This window comes from Homo sapiens, chromosome 11, assembly GCF_000001405.40.
Source record: "Homo sapiens chromosome 11, GRCh38.p14 Primary Assembly".
NCBI classification, from domain to species: Eukaryota; Metazoa; Chordata; class Mammalia; order Primates; family Hominidae; genus Homo; species Homo sapiens.
The window spans coordinates 110,173,307-110,194,816 of NC_000011.10; the positions used below are offsets into that span (position 1 = coordinate 110,173,307).

The following is a 21,510-nucleotide window of genomic DNA, read 5'->3' on the forward strand; positions in this document are numbered from 1 at the left end:
TGGACAGAGGAGTCAGCATATTCAAAATAAGCATTAGGTGTGAGAGTTCCCCAGGTACTTCCACAGGCTGAGCCAAGAATCCAGGAGAATATTCTATTAGGCAACAGTGTTACCTGGGGTAAGGACTTTATTTCTTCTCCACCTATACCATTGGGTAAGAAGAATGGGTTAATACTCATTGATGAATGAAGTGGCATGTGAGAAGGGGAGTTTGGTAAAAAGCAACTATGACAGTGAATTTATTCAAAACAAAACAAAACGCCTGCAGTTGGGCCTCTCATTAGTTAAACATCCTTATTTGTTAGCCTTTGCACCTCCGCCTCTGTTGCTGTTTTAGAGTTAATGGTTTTCATTTTTGTGTTTTTAAAGGATTTTTAAATTTTTTTAACATTTTAAAGGTTTCCCTTTTTAAAGATTTTTAAAATAACCTTTTAAAAAATGTATTCCTCTCTAGGTGCAGTCATCGGCCTTGGGTTAAGAGTACACACCCAGCTCCACACATCATACATGTAGCAGATTGGCAAATTACTAAACAGAGTAATAATTGCCCCCATTTCCTAGGGTTGTTAAGACTAAATGAGTTGAAACAAGTAAAACCCTTTGAACATGCAAATCCATAGTGTGTGTTCAATAAGTGACAGCCATTATTATGTAAATAACTAGGGGTATTTAAATGCGTAGTAATTTTGAGGCTTTCTCAATGGAGCCTTCCCTATCTCTATAGTTATGCTGTGGAAGAGTTTGAATTCTAACAATCAATGTAATTTGATTTATTCACTGGTGAGGTCTATTTCAGGAGTGGTATTTTAACCTTCAAAGAGTTCTTAGAACCCACTTCCTTGCTGCTCCCATCACTCAGCTCTTCTAGGTTTAAGGGTTTTTCCTCTGTATCTGCATTGTAATAGGGAAAGTGGAATAACAAATGATAATTACAAAAAGATTTCAGAATCTCACAGTTAAGCAGTTTACGACGGCGTCACTAACATCCCCTGCACTCCACTTTTACTCCTGAAGGTGGCGCTCCGCAAACCTGTCTGCGTCTCTTCCCCACCGCACACACCCCTGACCGAAGTGAAAAGGAATGTCGGTCCCTTACCGTAAGAACCTACAGAGCCGACCTGGACAGAGCAATGGCTGCTGTGTGGTCTCAGGTGGACGATGTACATTTCTGGGGAGATGTCAGATGACACTGGGCAACTGTTTTTCCCTTAAGCATTCCCTTCTAGTTTACAACTGCCGCTTTCAAAGTTGGAGAGATAAGGCTAGCAGGAAGAATACTCACATCTGAGGGTCCAGTACTATATATTTACATAAATTAAAATCCTATGAAATAAGCATTATCCCTATTTTAGAAATGAGGAAACTGAGACTCCAAAAGCTAAAAGCACTTACTCAAAGACAACCTCGTGATTCAATTCCCACTGTGCATGCTTTCAGAATTCTTTTTCCCACTTCAGTGTGCTGCAAAGCAGTGCTAGGAATGGGCCCTTAGTCACCTTTGGTATGAGTTATTCTACACAAAGTTAGGTCTGAGGAATGAAACCAGTTATGCTATAAATGCACATCCTTGAACATGCTATAACTTTACCTGGGAACAGGGAGAGACTAGGAAAAATATGAACTAGTGCTGTATTTTTACTTCTTCCGTGGACCCACACACCTTCATCACTCTGCTTTCATGTACAAACACCTGCGACAATGATGTCACTTGGATTAGAGGAAAGGTTTCACTGAGATCTTCCTGTCTTGAGGCTTGTGGTGATGGGCTTGGGTTGGGACTCAGGCCAGCTGACCAGGGTTCACTGCTTAAGGCCCCAGAAAAACCCAGGGCCCGCTGCGTCTGATAAGCAACAGTGGTAGCTTCTGTGTCCAAAGGAGGTTATTTCAGAGTCTGGACTCTTGTCTCCACTCTAGCATTCTTTGTAGCCCTGGAGAGTAAAAGGCAGTACATTTATTTCTAATGTTTCCAATCATGCTCAGGGACGTTCTAGGGTGTTTTTAGAGAAGGCCTATTTAGCTTTCAGACTCTTGACAATGCCCACTGCAAACACAACACCTTTTATGCTGAAGCAGCTGCCACTGGCATTTTCCTGGGCTTTGTGTTTTGCACAAATTCACCATGAGATTAAAAATAGGAAAGTTTAATTAGGTAGCCAAACAGATTCCCTTCCTAGTTCCCCAGGAGAACTCAGTGAGGAAGAGAGCACTGAAAGAATGGCAAGTACAATGTTTAAATGCACTTCCTGCTCTTGTCCAGAGGTCTGGGTGGGTGGGTGTCAGTGCACAGAGGGTCCCCCTTCAGCCCCTGGGGTGGGGGTGGGGGCCTGCCAGAGGCGAGGCTTTCTGTCTCAGCCTTCAAAGCCCTCTCCCCACTGCTCTCCACTTTCCAAGGATGTAATTATCATTCATTTGAATAATTCTTTCAAATATGCATGTGAAAAGATTGAGGGAGATGGCAAATACAATTTGGTAACTACATGAAAAGCTATTCAGTAAACTCTGGAGGAGATTTATGGGTTTGCTCTGTATGTTGCCAAATTAAGACAAGGACAAAGCACATTGTGCCATAGTGAATGCAATACACATTAAAACCCTGCAAATTAGACAAGGAGGATTGGAGCAAGATGCCTGTTCTAGTCCAAGCTCAACTTCATTGCCTACATTGAAGGGAGGTGGGAAGCAGTGGGAGAGGCGGGAGTGGGGACTACAGGAGGCCCCTGGGCCAAGGCGGGTGTGGGTGAGGGCGCACCAGCACCAGCCTTTTTTTCTTTTTCTTTTTTTCTTTTTTTTTTTTTCTGAGGCAGAGTCTCGCTCTGTTGCCCAGGCTGGAGTGCAGTGGCGTGACCTCGGCTCACTGTACCCTCTGCCTCCCAGGTTCAAGAAAGTAGCTGGGACCACAGGTGCGCACCACCACACCCAGCCAATTTTTGTATTTTTAGTAGAGACGGGGTTTCACCATGTTGGCCAGGCTAGTCTCAAACTCCTGACCTCAAGTGATCTGCCTGCCTCAGCCTCCTAAGGTACTGGGATTACAGGCATGAGCCACCTTGTCCGGCCTAGCACCAGCTTTTACAAACCCCAGAGCCCATCCAGGCAGTACCCCTCCTGGCTCCTGCCTTCCACATCCCATCATCTCCTGGCTCTGAGTCATCCAAAAGGGTAAGCATTCTCAACTCTGCCTCCTGCTCCCCCCAGCCACGGGGTGCCTGGGGACATTGCCATCACCCTGTCAGCAGTGACTGTAGGCAGATGGGGAAAGAGGAAGATGGCAACTGACTTTAAAAGATCCTTCTCCATCTCTCTCACAACTTAATATACAGACTTGTGATACCGCTTTCCAGATTGGTAGCAGGAAATGCCAAGTGGTGAGAGGGGTGGCGCAGGGAATATTTTAATCAAGGATTACAAGGATTGAGCAACGCCAGGCTCTGGAGGCCTAGCAGGAAGTTAGAGGGGGATTGTCAGGCCACAGCTTGTGCTCCTTGAACTCCTAAGGAGCCGAAGGTGGTGGGTGCGTCCCCTAACTCAGGCCTATTCTGCTGGGCTGTAGTTCATCTGAACAGGTAGCAGTATCACCAGGCCCTTTCGGAGTCCTCTCTGCTGACCTGAAGGAACCAGCGCAACATCGCACAGTCGGCTGGCCTGCAGCCTGCCAAGGGCCAAGCGCACACCACCTCCCCTTCCACCGTGACTGAAGCTTTGCCCAAAAGACCCTCTGAGAGGCTCAGAGTTTCTGGAGCCAAATGCATCTTCCAGAGAAAAGAAACACATTTCCAGAGACATCGGTTCTGTCAAGCTGTAAAGCAAAATGCCTCAGGGCAAAGTAGTAAAAGCCAAGACAAGGAGAGATGCTCATGGAGAAGAATTTCCCACCTCCACCCGGGGACAGGAACGGTGAGACTCCAACCACTCCCTGGCTGAGGCCTGAGGCCGCGACAGTGCGAACTCCTGTGGGAAGTGGTGAGGTGGTGGGGTCCAGACCCAGCTGCTAATCTGGTGCCCCCATTGCTGCACTGCACAACTTTGAGCAGGTCCTTAATCTTGAAGCTCAGCTACTTCCTCTATTGTAAAAGGTGATCTTTTAACCCACCACACAGGGTTGTGGGATGTTCAGCTCCAGCGTCTAGGACATGAGAGGTGTCAAAGACAGAATTCACTTCCCAGCTGGAGGCCTGCACCTTGGCCCCCATTCTTCCCTCTCCCTCCCAGAGGACATATGCAGCCCCCCAAATCCTCCATTCAGCCTCTGAATAGATCTCACTTTCATCACCTTTGCCTCACCTTTGTCCCTCTCCATGGCTCTGGCTGGACCTTGGCCTGGCCTGGGAGCTCTTTTGTGTGTATGTGTGTGTGTTTTTGGTAGAGACGAGGTTTGCCATGTTGGCCAGGCTGGTCTCGAACTCCTGACCTCAGGTGGTCCGCCTGCCTCGGCGTCCCAAAGTGCTGGGATTACAGGCATGAGACACCGCATCCGGCCTGGGAGCTCTTGTTACAGCAAACACTTCCCTATCCAGTCTCCCTACTGCTCCACCCTGCCTCAAATCCTTCTAACCTGTAGCTAGAGTTAACCGTCTCATGATATACTTAGAAACCTTTGACATTCCCTGTGCCCTCCCCGACACTCCCCCTCATACCCGCCCAGCACACACCCTGCCTCTCTGATCAGGCCAGGATGTCTGACCATAACATGCAAAACTCCCCACACAGTGACATCCCAGGTCCACCATCTGCCCTCCCCACCCACCATGGCCTCTAGACCCCTGGCCCGTCTCACAGTATGCCTGGCAAGCACTCTGTTTCCTCCAGGCTGTGTACTGCAGGCTCCTCTGCCAGGGATAACCTCCATCTCTGCTTCACCAGCAAAGACAAAATCCACAGCTCCACGTAAATGTCACCCTCCACCTGCAGCTCTCCTGGTCTTTCTAACAAAAGCAAGGGGGCCCTCTCTTCTAGTGCAGAACTCAACTGCATCCTGATTCTGAATTTGGGTTCAGTACTTTCCCCCTTTGCCCAAATCAGGGGTGCAAAAACAGTGGCTGTGCTGGGTTCATTTTCCCCTTTGACTGATCGATCCAGTTGCTAAGTTACATGCCAAAGAAGAGTGTGGGGAGAGAACTAAGGGTCACCACTGCCTACATCATGTTTAGGACTATGCCGTGGCTATTACATCAGTTGGCTTCTGCCCTGGAGATCACCGTCTAAGTCAGGGCAGAGGGACTCATCTATGATGCTTGCAACCAATGATCATGCTGTGGGAAGACGGGACAGGTTCACAGAGAAGGTGGCCTTGGACCTAAGTCCCAAAGGTTGATAGATTTTGGGGGGCAGAAAATATAAAAGTCAGAAGAAATCAGGTACAGAAGCAAGGAGGCATGACAGAGCACCTTCCAGGGACAGAGGTGTAGCCCAGCCAAAGTAGTGAGGGCGCAGAGAGGAAGCTAGAGACACTGAGGCCAGGTTGCAGAGGCTGCTGTTTGAGCAGCTCAGGATTTGGGCCTTTACAGATTATAAAGAGGGAACACTGGGGCTTGACTTGATGACAGACATATCTGCTTTGGCTGGCACAACCTGTTTCTCTTTTTGCTGAATGCCTTCAGCCATGTTTGTACTCTACATTGATCCCTGCCACCAGCCCTGCTGATTTCGTTACACCAAGCAACTAAAGACATTCGAGTTTGGGGTCCCTGCAAACAGGTAGTACCAGGGCCAGGGAAAATACCAAAGATTTTTACATGGGTACCAAATGGTGGAGCACAATTTTGAGGAGGGTGATTAGACCAGAGGGGTTCAGCCAGGGGGAAGCTGCCGCAATGGCCATCCCAGGAGAACTCATCCAAGGTCCACCCAAGGGCCAGAAGCCGGGGAACTGATGCCAGACACATTTTGGAAGTAGGATCAAACTAGGCTTTTTATTTGGGTGATGCTGGATAAGCTTTTTGCCCTGTAACCATCCATCACACGTGGAATCCTGGGCCTGAGCCCCAGTGGCAAAAAGTGACAATGAACACCACGCCAGGAAGTACCATGCCCAGCCCAGAGCCACCACCCAGCAAATATTCATTCCTGTCACTGCCCTGGCCTTTCCATTGTCTCTAGGATGTTAAGGCCCCATCTTCCCAGTTCCACTTGTGCCCTCCTAAATCCTGCCTCCACAGAGTAATCAGAATATTCTCTTAAATATCTAGGCCAGGCATGGTGGCTCATGCCTGTAATCCCAGCACTTCGGAAGGCCGAGGTGGGCATATCACCTGAGGTTGGAAGTTTGAAACCAGCCTGGTCAACATGGCAAAACCCTGTCTCTACTAAAAATACAAAAATTAGCCAGGCGTGGTGGTGGGTGCCTGTAATCCCAGCTATTCGGGAAGCCAAGGCAGGAGAATCACTTGAACCCAGAGGCAGAAGTTGCAGTGAGCCAAGATCATACCACTGTACTCCAGCCTGGGCAACAGAGCAAGATTCTGTCTAAAAAACAATTATAATAATAAAATCTAACAAGGTTAAGTTGTACCTGCAGATCCAGCTATGGAATGCCTCAGCCTCTAGGCCTCCCTGCAGTGCTCTGGACTTTGTTCTTTTTCTTTTTCTTTTTCTTTTTTCTTTTTTTTTTTTTTTTGAGACAGAGTTTCCCTTTGTTGCCCGGGCTGGAGTGTAGTGGTGCAATCTCAGCTCACTGCAACCTCCGCCTCACAGGTTCAAGCGATTCTCCTGCCTCAGCCTCCTGAGTAGCTGGGACTACAGACAGGCACCACCACGCCTGGCTAATTTTTGTATTTTTAGTAGTGAAGGGGTTTCACCATGTTGGCCAGGCTGGTCTCGAACTCCTGACCTCAAGTGATCTACCTGCCTTGGCCTCCCAAAGTGCTGAGATTACAGGCATGAGCCATGGCGCCTGGCCCTGGACTTTGTTCTTTAAGAAAGCTATTGAGTTGCAAAAGTGAAATTGACTGTGTAGATCTGCCTTGTCCTTCAGCGCTCATCATGCTATGTGCCAGCCAAATTGGACCCCATCCTATTTCCCCAACCCCCATATGGCCAAGGTTTTCCTCATTAGCTCCAGCTTTGGGCTGGGATTCATTCCCTCCCAACTTCAGCGGTCGGAATCTTCCCCTCCTCTCCAGGCCAGGAAGAAAGTGTCTCCTGCTGGAGTCCCCTGTCACCAATCTCACGGCAGGTCTCACCCTACCTTCAGTTACCCATTTCCCCGGGCCACTGTAGCAGGCAGCACACACACAGCTCTGTGGTCACCCTCGTGAAGCTGTTCCTCTAGTTCTGCTCTGTAGGGCTCCAGGCCCCTTCATCAGCCTTCTTGCAGTTTCCTCAGTCTGTGTGCATGCTCCTATCTCAGAACTTTTTTTTTTTTTTTTGAGACAGTCTCGCTCTGTCCCCCATGCTGGAGTGCAGTGGTGCGATCTCGGCTAACTGCAACCTCCACATTTTTGTCATTCCCTTTGCCTGGCTTTATCCTTCCAGGTGCTGCGTGGATCCTTCTCTCACTTTGGGTATCTGCTCAAACATCACCTTCTCAGTGAAGCCGTCCTGATATTTAGAAAATCGGAGCTCCAGCCCCCCTCTTGGATGTGCCCCGTGTTATATTCCTCCACAGCATGAAACCTTCGGATGAACTGTGTGGCTCCTTTATCGCTCAGCCCGGTCCTGGGACACACACTCCATGAAGGCAGGGCCTTGGTTGATTTGTTTGCTCCGTTCACATATGATGAATGAGTGGACAAAACTGCTTCATTGCCCCATTCCAGGTATCACCTTGGAATGTGTCTGGATCTGCCTGGATTAGAGCAGCTCAGGTGGTGGCCAGGACCCAGGCTACACACACACACGCACACCAGCTCAGGGCTGCATCTTTTTTTTTTTTTTTGAGACGGAGTCTTGCCCTGTCACTCAGGCTGGACTACAAATGGAGCGAACTCGACTCACTACAACCTCCGCCTCCCGGGTTGAAACAATTCTCCTGCCTCAGCCTCCTGAGTAGCTGGGATTATAGGCACCCGCCACCACGCCCAGCTGATTTTTTGTATTTTTAGTAGAGACGGGGTTTCATCATGTTGGCCAGGCTGGTCTTGATCTCCTGACCTCATGATCTGCCCGCCTCGGCCTCCCAGAGTGCTGGGATTGCAGGCGTGAGCCACCGCGCCTGGCCAGGGCTGCATCTTAATGCTCCTCTAAGGTCGTGAGCTATGTGAGGTTGGCCCCTTCCCAGTATCTTCCACTGCCCTGTGCCCTGGTGGACAAGAGGTCAAGGGGCCTAGAAGAGTTGGGCAGCAGAGCCTCAGGGCTTGGCCAAGAATGGGGGCATGGCCCCTGTGCCTTCATTTTACAATGTGTGGCTTTGAAGGGTGGTCCCAGAAATGGCAATGGACAAAGGCAAGTACCAGGCTGTACAGTCCGGAGCATATCTACCAACTTCCAACAGAGCAAGGGAAGAGAGGCGTCCAAGGCCATGTTATCACACATACACCAGGTGGCTTACCAGGGCAGGGGCATTTTAAGTCAGCTTCACTGTCCTGCAGCAGTGGCCTGAAAAAAAAGGGGGCAGCTTTTATTCCGAGACATTGTTACCACCTCAGACTCAGACCCAGGCACACCCTGGAGTCATCAGCAGCTCCATCAACTCCTGATGACTTGGGTACAAGGCCCCCTCACCTGGCAATCTGCACACTCCTCACCCCTCCCTGTTCCTCCCTCGGCCACCCTCTCCCATGCCTACTGTGCTCCAGGGCCAGCACAAGAGAAGGTGGGGGAGAGACACCCAGCAGCTGCTTTAGCAGCTTTCTGAGTGGAAAAAGCTGAGACTTCCAATTCTACCCTTCTCCTCTGAGCTCTCAGCGAGTGAGGACTACTGAGCTCCACAGATTCCTTGCCGCAGTGCTGGGTGCCAAGGGAGACGCGGAAGAGGTGGAGCTCCAGGAGGGCAGAGACGCCTTCCAGCCACTCATTGTGCAGCATCTCCAGTGCCCAGGACTTTGAGGAGGGTCAGAAATATTTGTTGAATGAATGTGGCCGGGCATGGTGGCTCATGCCTGTAATCCCAGCACTTTGGGAAACCAAGGTCCTTGGATTGCTGGGCTCAGGAGTTTGAGACCAGCCTGGGCAACATGGCAAAACCCCGTCTCTACTGAAAATACAAAAACCAGCCGGGTGTGGTGGCACACACCTGTAGTCCCAGCTACTCGGGAGGCTGAGGTGGGAGGATGGTTTAAGCCTGAGAGATGGAGGTTGCAGTGAGCTGAGATCTTGCCACGGTACTCCAGCCAGGGTGACAGAGCCAGCCCCTGTCTCAAACAACAACAACAACAACTTATTGAATGAATGAATAGGAGAATGGTAATTCTCTTGGGTAATCCTGTTCCTCATTGCCATGGGCAATGGTTTCTCAGAACTTGTACCAAGTCTCTTCATTTCTGCCTTTAGGGAAACTTTTGACAACCATCCCTCAAGGCCAGGTGAGCAGGCTGTCCGGGGTAACAGGACATATGAATAGCATTGCTGCATTTAGTTAAACCAGAAGGAACTGAAGATGAGTTCTGAGCGTCTACGGATTCTATGTATTTGGGGAGGAACAAAATAAAATATCTATGTTACAGAGAGCAAATCATTCTTTTACAGGCGTCAGAATTGAAATCCAGGGAGGCTAAATGATTTGCCCAAAGTCATGCAGCAGAAAATGGCACAGTTGGCCTTAGAATGCGACTCATCCCAAACCAATGCTAGGCACAGCCAGACCACAGGAGTCAGCCCACTGTGAGGACAGTGAAGGGTGATGACTCAAGCTTGCTAATGTGGGTTACCCGCACCTTGGTTCAACCACCAATGAAAAAACAGCCACTGATGAAGAAATATGGTGGGTACAGGGTGCAGCAGACCTGAGTGTACACACCCAGGACCTGCCAGCTCCTCTCAGAGGTGGCGATGCAGCCCAGTGCCCAGTCTACGTGGAGGGAGGAGCACTCCAGGTGAGAAGCTCTACTTGGCTTGCCATCTGCTATTAATATATGTATATCTGTATCGATAGATACTAGAAAAGTTCTTGCGTTCTTGCTCTGTCACCCAGGCTGGAGTACAGCGGCACAATCACAGCTCACTGCAGCTGCAAACTCCTGGGCTCAAGTGATCCTCCCACCTCAGTCTCCTAAATAGCTGGGACTACAGGTACACGCTAACAGCCCAGCCAATTTATTTTTCTGTAGAGAAAGTGTCCCACTATGATGCTCAGACAGGTCCCCAACTCCTAGTCTCAAGCGATCCTTCTGCCTCTGCCTCCCAAAGTGCTGGGATCACAGGCATAAGCCACTGCACCCAGACTATCTGCTATATTTTTAAGCCTGGTGAAGCCATTACAAATAACACTCAGATGACCTTTTTTCTCTGCCACTGCTCTATTACCTGTTCACTTCTGTCCCTCATTTCTCCTAGAGTCATCAGGCCCACTGAAGGGGCCAGGGCAGCAGGACTCAGTCTGTCACCAAGCCTGGCTTTAGGCCACCATGATTGTTTTCCCCAGAGTTGCAATTCAGCAGGAGTAGGCAAGACCTACGCCAGCTGAAATGGCACCCTGGACTACAGGGCTCTGGCCACGCTGCTATCGATGCTTAGGACTAGGCCGTGCTTTGTGTTGGGAGGGCTGTCCTGTGCATTGTAGGATGTTTTCCAGCATCCCAGGCCTATCCCTGCTAGATGTCAGTGCCACACACACCCAAATCTCAGCAATCACAAACATCCCCAGACATGTCCCCTGGAAGACCACCAGTGTGCAAGATACAGATACTGTAGAATAACAGGAGGGAGAGGGAGCACGTGAGAGCCCAAGGGCAGAGGGGATGATAGAACAATCTGGCGCTGGAGACGGAGCTGATCTGAGCACTGTGGCAGCAACAGGGATGTTCACCAAATCTTCCCTTTGCTATCCTGCCTTTCCCATCCCCCTTGTAGCCAAGAGAACTCGCTATATGACTAGCTCTGACCATGAAATATTGGCAGAAGAGACAGGTGTCATTCCCAAGCCCAGGCGGTGAACAGCCCTGTGGGGTTCTCCAGCCTCTGTCTCCCTGACATGGTGCCTAAGAGGTCATATGTTCCTCCTGGTGTAGGGAAATCCAGGTCCCTGAGGGACTGTGCAGAACAAGATGCCCCCAAATGAACAGAGAGCAAGGCACGGGCCTCTAAGGTGTAAGCCTTGCAGGGTGGGTGGTAGAGCCTCACCTGCTCTGACTGATGGAAATCGGCAGAGGGAAGAAGGGAAACCCCTTCTGATGGGGGTGGGAGGCCTGAAGGAAGCCCTGGAGATGGGAAAGTCCTAGAGGGAACTGGCTGTACTGGAACAGCCACACTGTGCCAGGAAGTTGCAAAAACTTGTTGCAGGTGGGAGGCGGGGTGTGCAGCGGGCAGCCCACTCACAGAGGCTGGAGTGAAGGATGTGTGGTCAACAACACGGATGATCAGAGGAGAGACATTTTTAGGAATTCATTGCGTTTGTGGAGTAAAAGAAAGCAGACACGACACATAGAACCTGCTGAATGATGTCAATTATATAAAGTGCAAGCCAGATAAAACATATCTACCTGTTAGAGTTTGAGACGGTGCTGACCTTGGAGGGGGGGCTAGGGCCTGAGAAAAGCACTAGGGATGTCTGCGGGGACACACTCTGCTCTGGCCTTCTCCTGAATCCACTGGCATTCATCACACGGTTCCCTAACCCGCAAATGTTTGTACTTTTACACTTCAATGACAAGTCATTAAAATCCACTAGCTCCATCATTATTAAAAAGTCTTTATTTGTGCACAGTGCTGTACAAGGTTTTATCCAAGGAGAACTGAGCATGTCTCAAACTCTGTTTTAAAATAGCAATTTCAGGGCTGATGTACAGCTGCTGTTGACTCATCTTGCTTTCTGCATAGAACAGAAATGAGGATAATCCATAATCATTTGTTTCTCCCCAAGGCCGTGGGCTAGAAGAGGATATTGATTTGTAAGAATTACTCATGCTGACCGAGGACTGTTTGCCAGCCCCAGGTTAGCAAAGGAGGCCCAGCTGACTCAGACAGCCTTGAGAACATTGGGTTCTTCTGGAGTTTGAGGGAACAATAACAGAATGCCTTCTCTTAGCCAAGTGTTCCTTGGGTCTTCAGTGTGGTCTCCAGTCCAGCAGCCTCAGTTTCACTTGGGAACTTGTCTGAAATGCAAATTCTTGGGCCCCACTGCTGACATGCTGAATCAGAAACTCTGGTAGCGGAGCCCAGCATGTGTGTTTTCACAACTCCTGCAGGCAGTTCTGCTGCACATTCGAGTGAGAACCACGGGCTAAATCCATTGAGAAACAAAGCAAAAGAATAAGGCCGTGAAGCTGTCAGACCACCTTCATCCTTGATAAAGCTAGCACTAGAGAATGTGGGCTTATGCCTGTGGCGACTGGGCTTTCTAATACTGAACCCCAGACTTGCCCCTCCCAGGTGGGAGCCTGGCCTCTGTGAAACTATGGCATGGAAGAGCATACTATGGCGTGGAGGTGCTTATGCTTCCTGCAGACAGCTCATTCCCCAAAGGAAAATCCGGGAACAGGACTGGGCTACAAACCTACCAGTCAAGCAACTCATCCCACCTGCCTGGAAGCAAATGAGTGGACCACCAGGGAAAGGGTATGGTGCTGACTGATGACTGTTGCATCCACGCTGGAGGAGGGAAGCCCCCCAAACCAATGCATTTCCTAAGTATTAGTGACTAGCTTCCCCGCTTTGTGTTGCTACACCCATCAGCTTTGGGCTTACACAGTTGGGAATAGAACTTGACCAGGACTGACATCTGATAGTTACAGAAGCACTCTTCATGGGTCACTGCCCAGCTTGACGGGTGTGGGCAATTCACGCGTGAAGAAAAGTGGGTTCTTGTTCTGAGACTTCAGCTTCCCATCAGAGCATCCCAATGATAAACACACACTGCAGTCTTTCTGCCCTGTGCAGAAGAGAGCCAAGAAGAAATCCAGCCAACAGGGCATGAAAAGTGAGAGCCAAGTATGTTCTGTTTCCTCAGAAAGATTTTGACTAGGTGGTGCTTTGACCTGTCATTATCTTAATGCATTTTTTGGTATCTGAACATAGGCAATCTTCATCACTCGTTTTTTTTTCCCCGCAAGATGGTGAATTACAGGCTTCTAGCATGCCTCAGCCACTTGGAAATAGCAAAATAGTGCATAAAGATCAATTCTGTGAGCTTTAAGATGGAAAATGGGAATCCATCAGCATAACAAAAGACATCCCAGATCCCAAGGAGAAGGTAGGCAGGCAGCCCCCATGATGGCACCCAGCCAATAAAAGTGAGTGACGCCCCAGAAACTAGGAGGGTCAGAGAGTCCCTCATGGCCCATCTTTCCGCAGGGGTTCCATACAACCCAGGCCAAGGGAGAGCATTTCATTTCTCCCAAGCCCTGGAGCGGACTTATGAAGCAGCTTGGACACGGAAAAGTGGCAGATATTTTCCCAGACCCGGGATCAAGAGAAGGATGCCACTTTTAATCCAGGCTCATACAAAGTCAGTCATTCTTTGGTGACCCTGGCAGTGTAGCCATGCAGGCATTTTAGTCTCAGGTTAGAGATTGGAGCATTTGCTCTGGAGCAGGGTAGGGCCCTCCACAGCCAGAACTGGGCAGCAAATGTGGAAGGTGTCCCAGCAGTAGGCACTGGAACTGTGCTCTCCTCTGTCACAGGCCTGGAGTGGGAGGAGGGCTGCCACGGCCACAGTTTCTCCTGGGCAAAAAGATTTGTAGTCAGAGCCAACTTGGCACCCTGGAACCGTCTGCATGTGTAATTACTGGGTGCCTTAGAGATCGTGGCACAGCAGGGCCCTCTCTACTCTACCCCCAGACATATCTCCAGGTATTTGGAGCAGCTGCTCACCTGAACTAACAGCCTGAACTGCTCCAGTCTTCCTGAGTGAGTCCTTGGTGTAGCGGGGCCCTCTTTGCTCCACACTCAGGGAGACCTCCAGGCATTTGGAGCACCTGCTCCCATGGATTAGCAGCCTGGATCACCCCATCCTTCCTGTATGGAGTTTGTGGTGCAGGAGGCGCTCTCTTTGCTTCATGCCCAGGCAGATCTCCAGGCATATAGAGCACCTTCCTACCCAGATAGCCTGAGTTACTCCACCCTTCCTGAGCAGAGATCATGGTGCAGGGGGCCATTTTTGATCCTCCAGGCAGATCTCCAGCAATCTGGAGCACCCACTCACTCTCCTAGAGCAGGAGTTTAGGATGCCCCCACTCCCTGTGCAGAGAACTTGGAGCTGAGAAGTTCCCCAGCTCCATACCTAGGCACACCTCTGGGTGCTTGATGGCTGCCCATTGGACCTCTTCCTCTGCACTGGTGCTTATGCTTGCCATTAGGGGACCTGTAAGCAGTCATTCCCAGTCCAGCCCCACTTATCTTGGTCCTGTCCACCCACCCATCTTGGTCTCCCCTTCCGGGGGTTGAGCAGGGAGTTCGGACCATGGTGCACTGCACAGATCAACCCATTGCCTGAGGAAAAAAGAGAGCTTCTTCCGGTAACAAGGATCAAGTATACACCCATCTGTGTTGGCTGCAGCTGGCTTTTACCCACAAGTGCCATCCACTGGCCTGTAGATCAAACCACACTGCCCAATATAAAACCTGCCAACAGAAGTGCATAGGGCTATTCATAAAAAGAACAAAAGAATGGCATTGGCCGGGCATGGTGGCTCATGCCTGTAATCCCAGAACTTTGGGAGGCCGAGGCAGACACATCACTTGAGGTCAGGAGTTCAAGACCAGCCTGGCCAAGATGGCGAAACCCCATCTCTACCAAAAATATAAAAATTAACCAGGCATGGTGGTGCGCCCTTGTGATCCCAGCTACTCGGGAGGCTGAGGCAGGAGAATCACTTGAACCCAGGAGGCAGAGGTTGCAGTGAGCCAAGATCACACCACTGCACTCCAGCCTGGGCAACAAGAGCGAGACTCTGTCTCAAAATAATAATAATAATAATAATAATAATAATAATAATAATAACAATAATAATGGCATTCGCAGCAACCTGGATGGAGCTGGAGACCATTATTTTAAGTGAAATAACTCCGGAATGGAAAAGCGAACATCGTATGTTCTCACTTATAAGTGGGAGCTAAGCTATGAGGACGCAAAGGCATAAGAATGATACAATGGACTTTGGGAACTTAGGAGGAAGGATGGGAGGGGGGTGAGGGATAAAAGACTACATATTGGGTAACAGTGTACACTGCTCGGGTGATGGGTGGACCTAAATCCCAGAAATCACCACTAAAGAACTTATTCGTGTAACCAAACACAACTAACAGGCTAACAGGGAGCTTCTCAGCAGAAACCTTACAAGCCAGAAAAGACTGGGGGCTTCTTATGGCATTCTCAAAGAAATTCCAACAAAGATGCTATATCCTACCACACTAAGCTTCATAAGCAAAGAAGAAATAACCTCTTTTATAGACAAGCAATCACTAAGAGAATTTTTTTACCACCAGACCAGACTTATAAGAGATCCTTAAGGGTGTTCTAAACATGGAAATGAAAAAACAATACCTATCACCACAAAACACTCTTACATACATGGCTCACAGACCCTATAAAGCAACCGCACAATAGAAACTACAAAATAGCTAGCTAATAACTTCACGATAGGATCCAAACCTCACATATCAACGTTAACATTGAATGTCAATGTTCTGAATGCCCCACGTAAAAAGCACAGAGTGACAAATTCGACTTTAAAAAAACCAAAGACCCATACATCTACTATCTTCAAGAGACCCACTGACATTTAATGACACCCATAGGTTCAAAGTAAAGGGTTGGAGGAAGATCTATCATGCAAATGGAAAATAAACGAGAGCAGGAGCCAATAGTTTTATATCAGATAAAACAAACTTTAAATGAACAACAGGTAAAAAAAAAAAAAAAAAAAAAAAAAGACAAGGGCATTACATAATGACAAAGGGATCAATTCAACAAGAGACTTAATTATCCTGAACATATATATGCACCCAACATTGGAGCATCCAGCTTAATAAAACAAGTACTTCTGGACTATGAAAATACTTAGCCACACAATAATTGTGGGGTCCTTTAACACTCAACCAACGGCATTAGATCATCAAGGCAGAAAACTAAAAAATTTTGGACTTAAATTTGACATTTGACCAATGGGGCCTAATAGACAGCTACAGACTATTCTACCCATCAGTCACAGAATATACATTCTTCTCATCTACATACAGAAAATACTGTAAGATTGACCACACGCTCAGCCAAAAAGCAAGTTTCAATAAATTAAAAAACCTGAAGTCATGCCAACCATACTCTAGAACTACAGTGGAAGAAAAACAGAAATCAGTACAAAGAAGATCTCTCAAAACCACACAATTACATGGAAATTAAACAACTGCTCCTGAATGACTTTTCAGTAAACAATGAAATTAAGGCAGGAATCAAAAAAATTCTTTTGGCCAGGTGTGGTGGCTCATGCCTGTAATCCCACCACTTTGGGAGGCCGAGGTGGGCAGATCACCTGAGTTCAGGAGTTCAAGACCAGCCTGACCTACATGGAGAAACCCCATCTCTACTAAAAATACAGAATTAGCCAGGTGTGGTGGCATATGCCTATAATCCCAGCTACTTGGGAGGCTGAGGCAGGAGAATCGCTTGAACCCAGGAGGCAGAGGATGTGGTGAGCCGAGATCGTGCCATTGCACTCCAGCCTAGGCAACAAGAGCGAAACTCCATCTCAAAAAAAAAATTATTTGGAATACATGAAAACAGAGACACACATACCAAAATTTCTGTGATGCAACAAAAGCAGTGTTAAGAGGAAAGTTTATAGCACTAAATGACTACTTCTTTGGAAGGCCAAGGTGGGTGGATTACTTGAGGTCAGGAGTTCGAGACCAGCCTGGCCAACATGGTGAAACCCCGTCTCTACTAAAAATACAAAAATTAGACGGGCATTGTGGTGCATGCCTGTAATCCTAGCTACTCGGGAGGCTGAGGCAGAATTGCTTGAACCCGGGAAGCAGAGGCTGCAGTAAGCCGGAGGCTGCAGTGAGCCGAGACTGTGCCACTGTACTTCAGCCCAGGTGATAGAGAGCAAGTCTCCATCTTAAATAAATAAATAAATATAAATGCTTACATCAAGAAGATGGAAATATCTCAAATTAACAATCTAACATGATACCTACAGGAACTAGAAAAACAAGAACAAACTAACCCCCAAACTAGCAGGAGAAAAGAAATAACTAAAATCAGAGCAGAACTGACATTGAGGCCCAAAAATCCATACAAAAGATCAACAAAACCAAAAGTTGGTTATTTGAAAGAATAAAAATAATCAATAGACCACTACCTAGATTAATAGAAAAAAGAGATGTGATCCAAATAAGCACAATCAGAAATGAGAAAGGTGACATTACAACTGATCCCACAGAAATACAAAAGATCTTCAGAGACTATTATCAACACATCTGTGAGCACAAACTAGAAAATCAAGAGGAGATGGATAAATTCTTGGATGCACATAACCTCCCAAGATTGAATCAGGAAGAAATCGAAACTCTGAATAGAGCAGTATCAAGTTCCAAAATTGAATCAGTAATAAAAAACCCAGCAGCCAAGAAAAGCTCTAGACCAGATGGATTCACAGCTGAATTCTACCAGATGTACAAAGAAAAGTCAATACCAATTCTACTGAAACTATACCCAAAAATTGAGGAAGAGGGAATCCCCCCTAACTCATTCTATGAAGCCAGCACAACCCTGATACTAACACCTGGCAAAGACACAACAAAAAAAGAAAACTACAGACTAATATCCCTGATGAACACAGACACAATATCCAAAACAAAATATCAGCAAATCAAACCCAGTTAATTCACCATGATCAAGTCAGCTATATTACTGGGATGCAAGGCTGGTTTAAGACACACAAATCAATAAATATGATTCACCAGATAAACAGAAATAAAAACAAAAATGATATGATTATCTTAACAGATGCAGAAAAATCTTTTGATAAAATCCAATATCCCTTCGGGATAAAAACCTTCAACAGAGTAGGCATTAAAGGAACATATCTCAAAATAAGAAGAGCCATCTATAACAAACCCACACTGAACAGGCAAAAGCTGGAAGGATTCCCCTTACGAACAGGAACAAGACAAGGATGCCCACTCTTACCACACCTATTCAGCATAGTACTTGAAACCTTAGCAAGAGCAATCAGGTGCCAGGCGCAGTGGCTCACGCCTGTAATCCCAGCACTTTGGGAGGCCAAGGCAGGTAAATCACCTGAGGTCATGAGTTCAAGACCAGTCTGGCCAACATGGCGAAACCCCATCTCTACCAAAATTACAAAAATTAGCCAGGTGTGGTGCTGTGTGCCTGTAGTCCCAGCTACTCAGGAAGCTGAGGCAGGAGAATAGCTCGAACCTGGGAGGTGGAAGTTGCAGCGAGCCGAGATCATGCCACTGTACTCCAGCCTGGGTGACAGAGGAGACTCTGTCTCAAAATAAAACAAAAATTAAAATAAATCATAGATGATCCAAACAAAGCGAAAAACATTCCATGCTTATGGATAGGAAGAATCAATATTATTAAAATGGCCATACTGCCCAAAGCCATTTACAGATTCAATACTATCCCTATCAAACTACCAAGGTCATTTTTCACAGAATTAGAAAAAGCTATTCTAAAATTCATATTGATCCAAGAAAGAGCCCAAATAGCCAGAGCAATCCAAAGCAAAAAGAACAAAACCAGAGGCATCACGTAACCCAACTTCAAACTATACTGTAAGGCTGCCATAACCAAAACAGCATGATATGAGCATAGAAACAGACACACAGACCAATGGAACACAGTAGAGAACCCAGAAATAAAGCTACACACCTACAACCATCTGATTTTTGACAAAGTTGACAAAAATAAGCCGTGGGGAAAGGACTCCCTATTTAATAAATGGTGTTGGGATAACTGGCTATGCATATGCAAAAGAATGAAACTAGACCACTACCTTTCACCATATACAAAAAGTGACTCAAGCTGGATTAAAGATTTAAATGTAAGACCTCAAATTATAAAAATTCTAGAAGAAAACCTGGCCCTAGCAAAGAATTTATGGCTAAGTCCTCAAAAGCAATTGCAGCAAAAGCAAAAATTGACAAGTGGAACCTAATTTAACTAAAGAGCTTCTGCACAGCAAGAGAAACTATCAATAGAGTAAGCAGACAATCTGCAGAATGGGAGAAAATATTCTCAAACTATGCTTCTCACAAAGGTTTAATATTCAGAGTCTCTGAAAAATTTAAATCATTCAAGAAGCAAAAAACAAATAACTCCATTAAAAAGTAGGCAGAGGACATGAACAGACACTTCTCAAAAGAAGATACAAGCAACGACAAACATATGAAAAAATGTTCCGCATCACTAATTACCAGAGAAATGCAAATCAAAACCACAATGAGATACCATCTCACAGTAGGCTGAGTGGTTAGTATTGAAAAGTCAAAAAAAAAAACAGCAGATGCTGGTGAGGTGTGGAGAAAGAGAATTCTTATACACTGTTGGTGGGAATATAAATTAGTTCAGCCACTGTGGAAAGCAGTTTGGAGATTTCTCAAAGAACTTAAAACAGAACTATCATTTGACCCAGTAATCCCATCACTGGGTATATATTCAAAAGAAAAGAAATCACTCTACCAGAGAGACACATGCACTTACATGTTCACCACAGCAGTACGCCCAATAGCAAAGATACGGAATCAACCTAGGTGCCCATCAACAGTGGACTGGATAAAGAAAATATGGTACATATACACCATGGAATACTATGCAGCCATAAAAAAGAATGAGATCATGTCCTTTACAGCAACATGAATGCAGCTGGAGGCCATTATCCTAAGCAAATTAACATAGGAACAGAAAACCAAATACCACATATTTTCACTTATAAGTGGGAGCTAAACATTGAGTACACGTGGACATTAAGATGGGAACAACAGACACTGGGGACCACTAGAGACGGGAGAGAGGGTTGGGGGCAGGGGTTGAAAAACCACCCATTGGGTAGTATGCTCACTACCCGGGTGACAGGATCATTCATACCCCAAACCTCAGCATCATGCAATAAATTCATGTAACAAACCTACACATGTACACCCTACATCTAAAATAAATCTTGAAATTACAAAACAAAATAGAATAAACTATTTTCTCCTCTCAACTGCACATTTTTGCCATCTAATGACCTTCCTCTTTAACATGAAAATTATGCTACTCCTTTCCCTCTTCCAAAGAAGACACTCTAAGAACAAAAAGAACCTTAGAAATCATTTAGTCCAAACACCTCATTTTACAGCAGAGGAATCGGAGGCCCTGAGAGTTGGAGTGATGTGTCCAAATTCCAACTACTAATTAGTGGCAGAGCCGCAGCAAATGCCCAGGTTTTAACACCCACAGGCTGAAAACTCTCAATCCTTCACAGCTTCATTAACCAAACTTTTGATTATACAGCATTATCTCTAATTGGGATTCTCTCTTACTGCATTATAAACCGAAGCAATTGGTAATTTGTCCCATACATTTTATAATAACGTCCCTTCATATCACCAGTCCTGGCTAGAAAAACCCATATGTAGAAAAGGTTTTTGCCCAGTGCATTGCACAGGAATTAGCTGTTGAAGGCAGCGGCCCACGCTGTGCCCTCTTTATCTTTTGACCTGGAGCCTCAGGTTCCCTGATATATCTATTAAAAGGTGAGAGTAAGAACAGATGTGGCACAACTCTTCAGAGTTACTTGTTCAATGTTTTAAAGAGCTTGACAGATGATTTCCTCAATTCTCTTCCAGGCTGTATTTTTTAATACACAAAAAGTAATCTTGCAAGAGCTGTTTGCCCCTGCCATAGGGTAACAATAGGCTGGAGTGCAGTGGCGCAATCCTGACACACAGTAACCTCCGCCTTCCGGGTTCAAGCGATTCTCCTGCCTCGGTCTCCCGAGCAGCTGGGACTACAGGCACCTGCCACCACACCCAGCTAATTTATGTATTTTTAGTAGAGACGGGGTTTTGCCATGTTGGCCAGGCTGGTCTGGAACTCCTGACCTCAACTGATCCGCCCACCTCAGCCTCCCAAAGTGCTGGGATTACAGGGGTGAGTCACTGCACCCAGCCGGATATTACAACTTTTCGTTTCTTGCATTCCCAGGTCTTATGACTGAATGATTTTATGCCAACTTCCACTTATAATCAAGGAGAGGACTGAGAAACCATAATTTGATAAGAAACCACAACTATGTGGTTATCCTTTAAGTTATAAAAGTGCCTGATAACCAAAGATTTCACATAAATTACAAGAGACCACTTTGGGAATAAATATTCCTTGATATTAGACAAACAATATTGTATCTGCCTAGTGTCCCCTGTAGGAGGAGGTTGTCTCTAAAATAACTAGACTTAATATCCTTGAAA

General features: G+C 46.8%; 1 protein-coding gene across 3 annotated transcripts in view, besides 3 other annotated features; it reads right to left on the reverse strand.

Annotated features, from left to right (window-relative positions):
* Positions 176-1,091: an enhancer, noted in NCBI's record as "OCT4-NANOG hESC enhancer chr11:110044207-110045122 (GRCh37/hg19 assembly coordinates)". NCBI's record gives its function as "activates a minimal SCP1, AML or CMV promoter by ChIP-STARR-seq in primed H9 embryonic stem cells {active_cell/tissue: H9 hESC(primed)}" and the evidence as "EXISTENCE:reporter gene assay evidence [ECO:0000049][PMID:30033119]".
* Positions 1,616-21,510, reverse strand: part of RDX (radixin) — a 121,693-nt gene continuing 101,798 nt past the window's right edge. For 2 of the 3 annotated variants that reach the window (NM_001440510.1, NM_001440505.1), the window contains one exon: positions 11,767-12,313. The gene's annotated coding sequence lies outside the window, so the exon portion shown is untranslated. Of the gene's footprint in view, positions 1,929-11,766; positions 12,314-21,510 lie in introns of those variants that run through there. The other variant, NM_001260493.2, reaches the window with a different exon arrangement.
* Positions 8,392-9,080: an enhancer, noted in NCBI's record as "H3K27ac-H3K4me1 hESC enhancer chr11:110052423-110053111 (GRCh37/hg19 assembly coordinates)". NCBI's record gives its function as "activates a minimal SCP1, AML or CMV promoter by ChIP-STARR-seq in naive H9 embryonic stem cells {active_cell/tissue: H9 hESC(naive)}" and the evidence as "EXISTENCE:reporter gene assay evidence [ECO:0000049][PMID:30033119]".
* Positions 19,610-19,719: an enhancer, noted in NCBI's record as "active region_5500". NCBI's record gives its function as "activates an Ori minimal core promoter by ATAC-STARR-seq in GM12878 lymphoblastoid cells {active_cell/tissue: GM12878}" and the evidence as "EXISTENCE:reporter gene assay evidence [ECO:0000049][PMID:35858748]".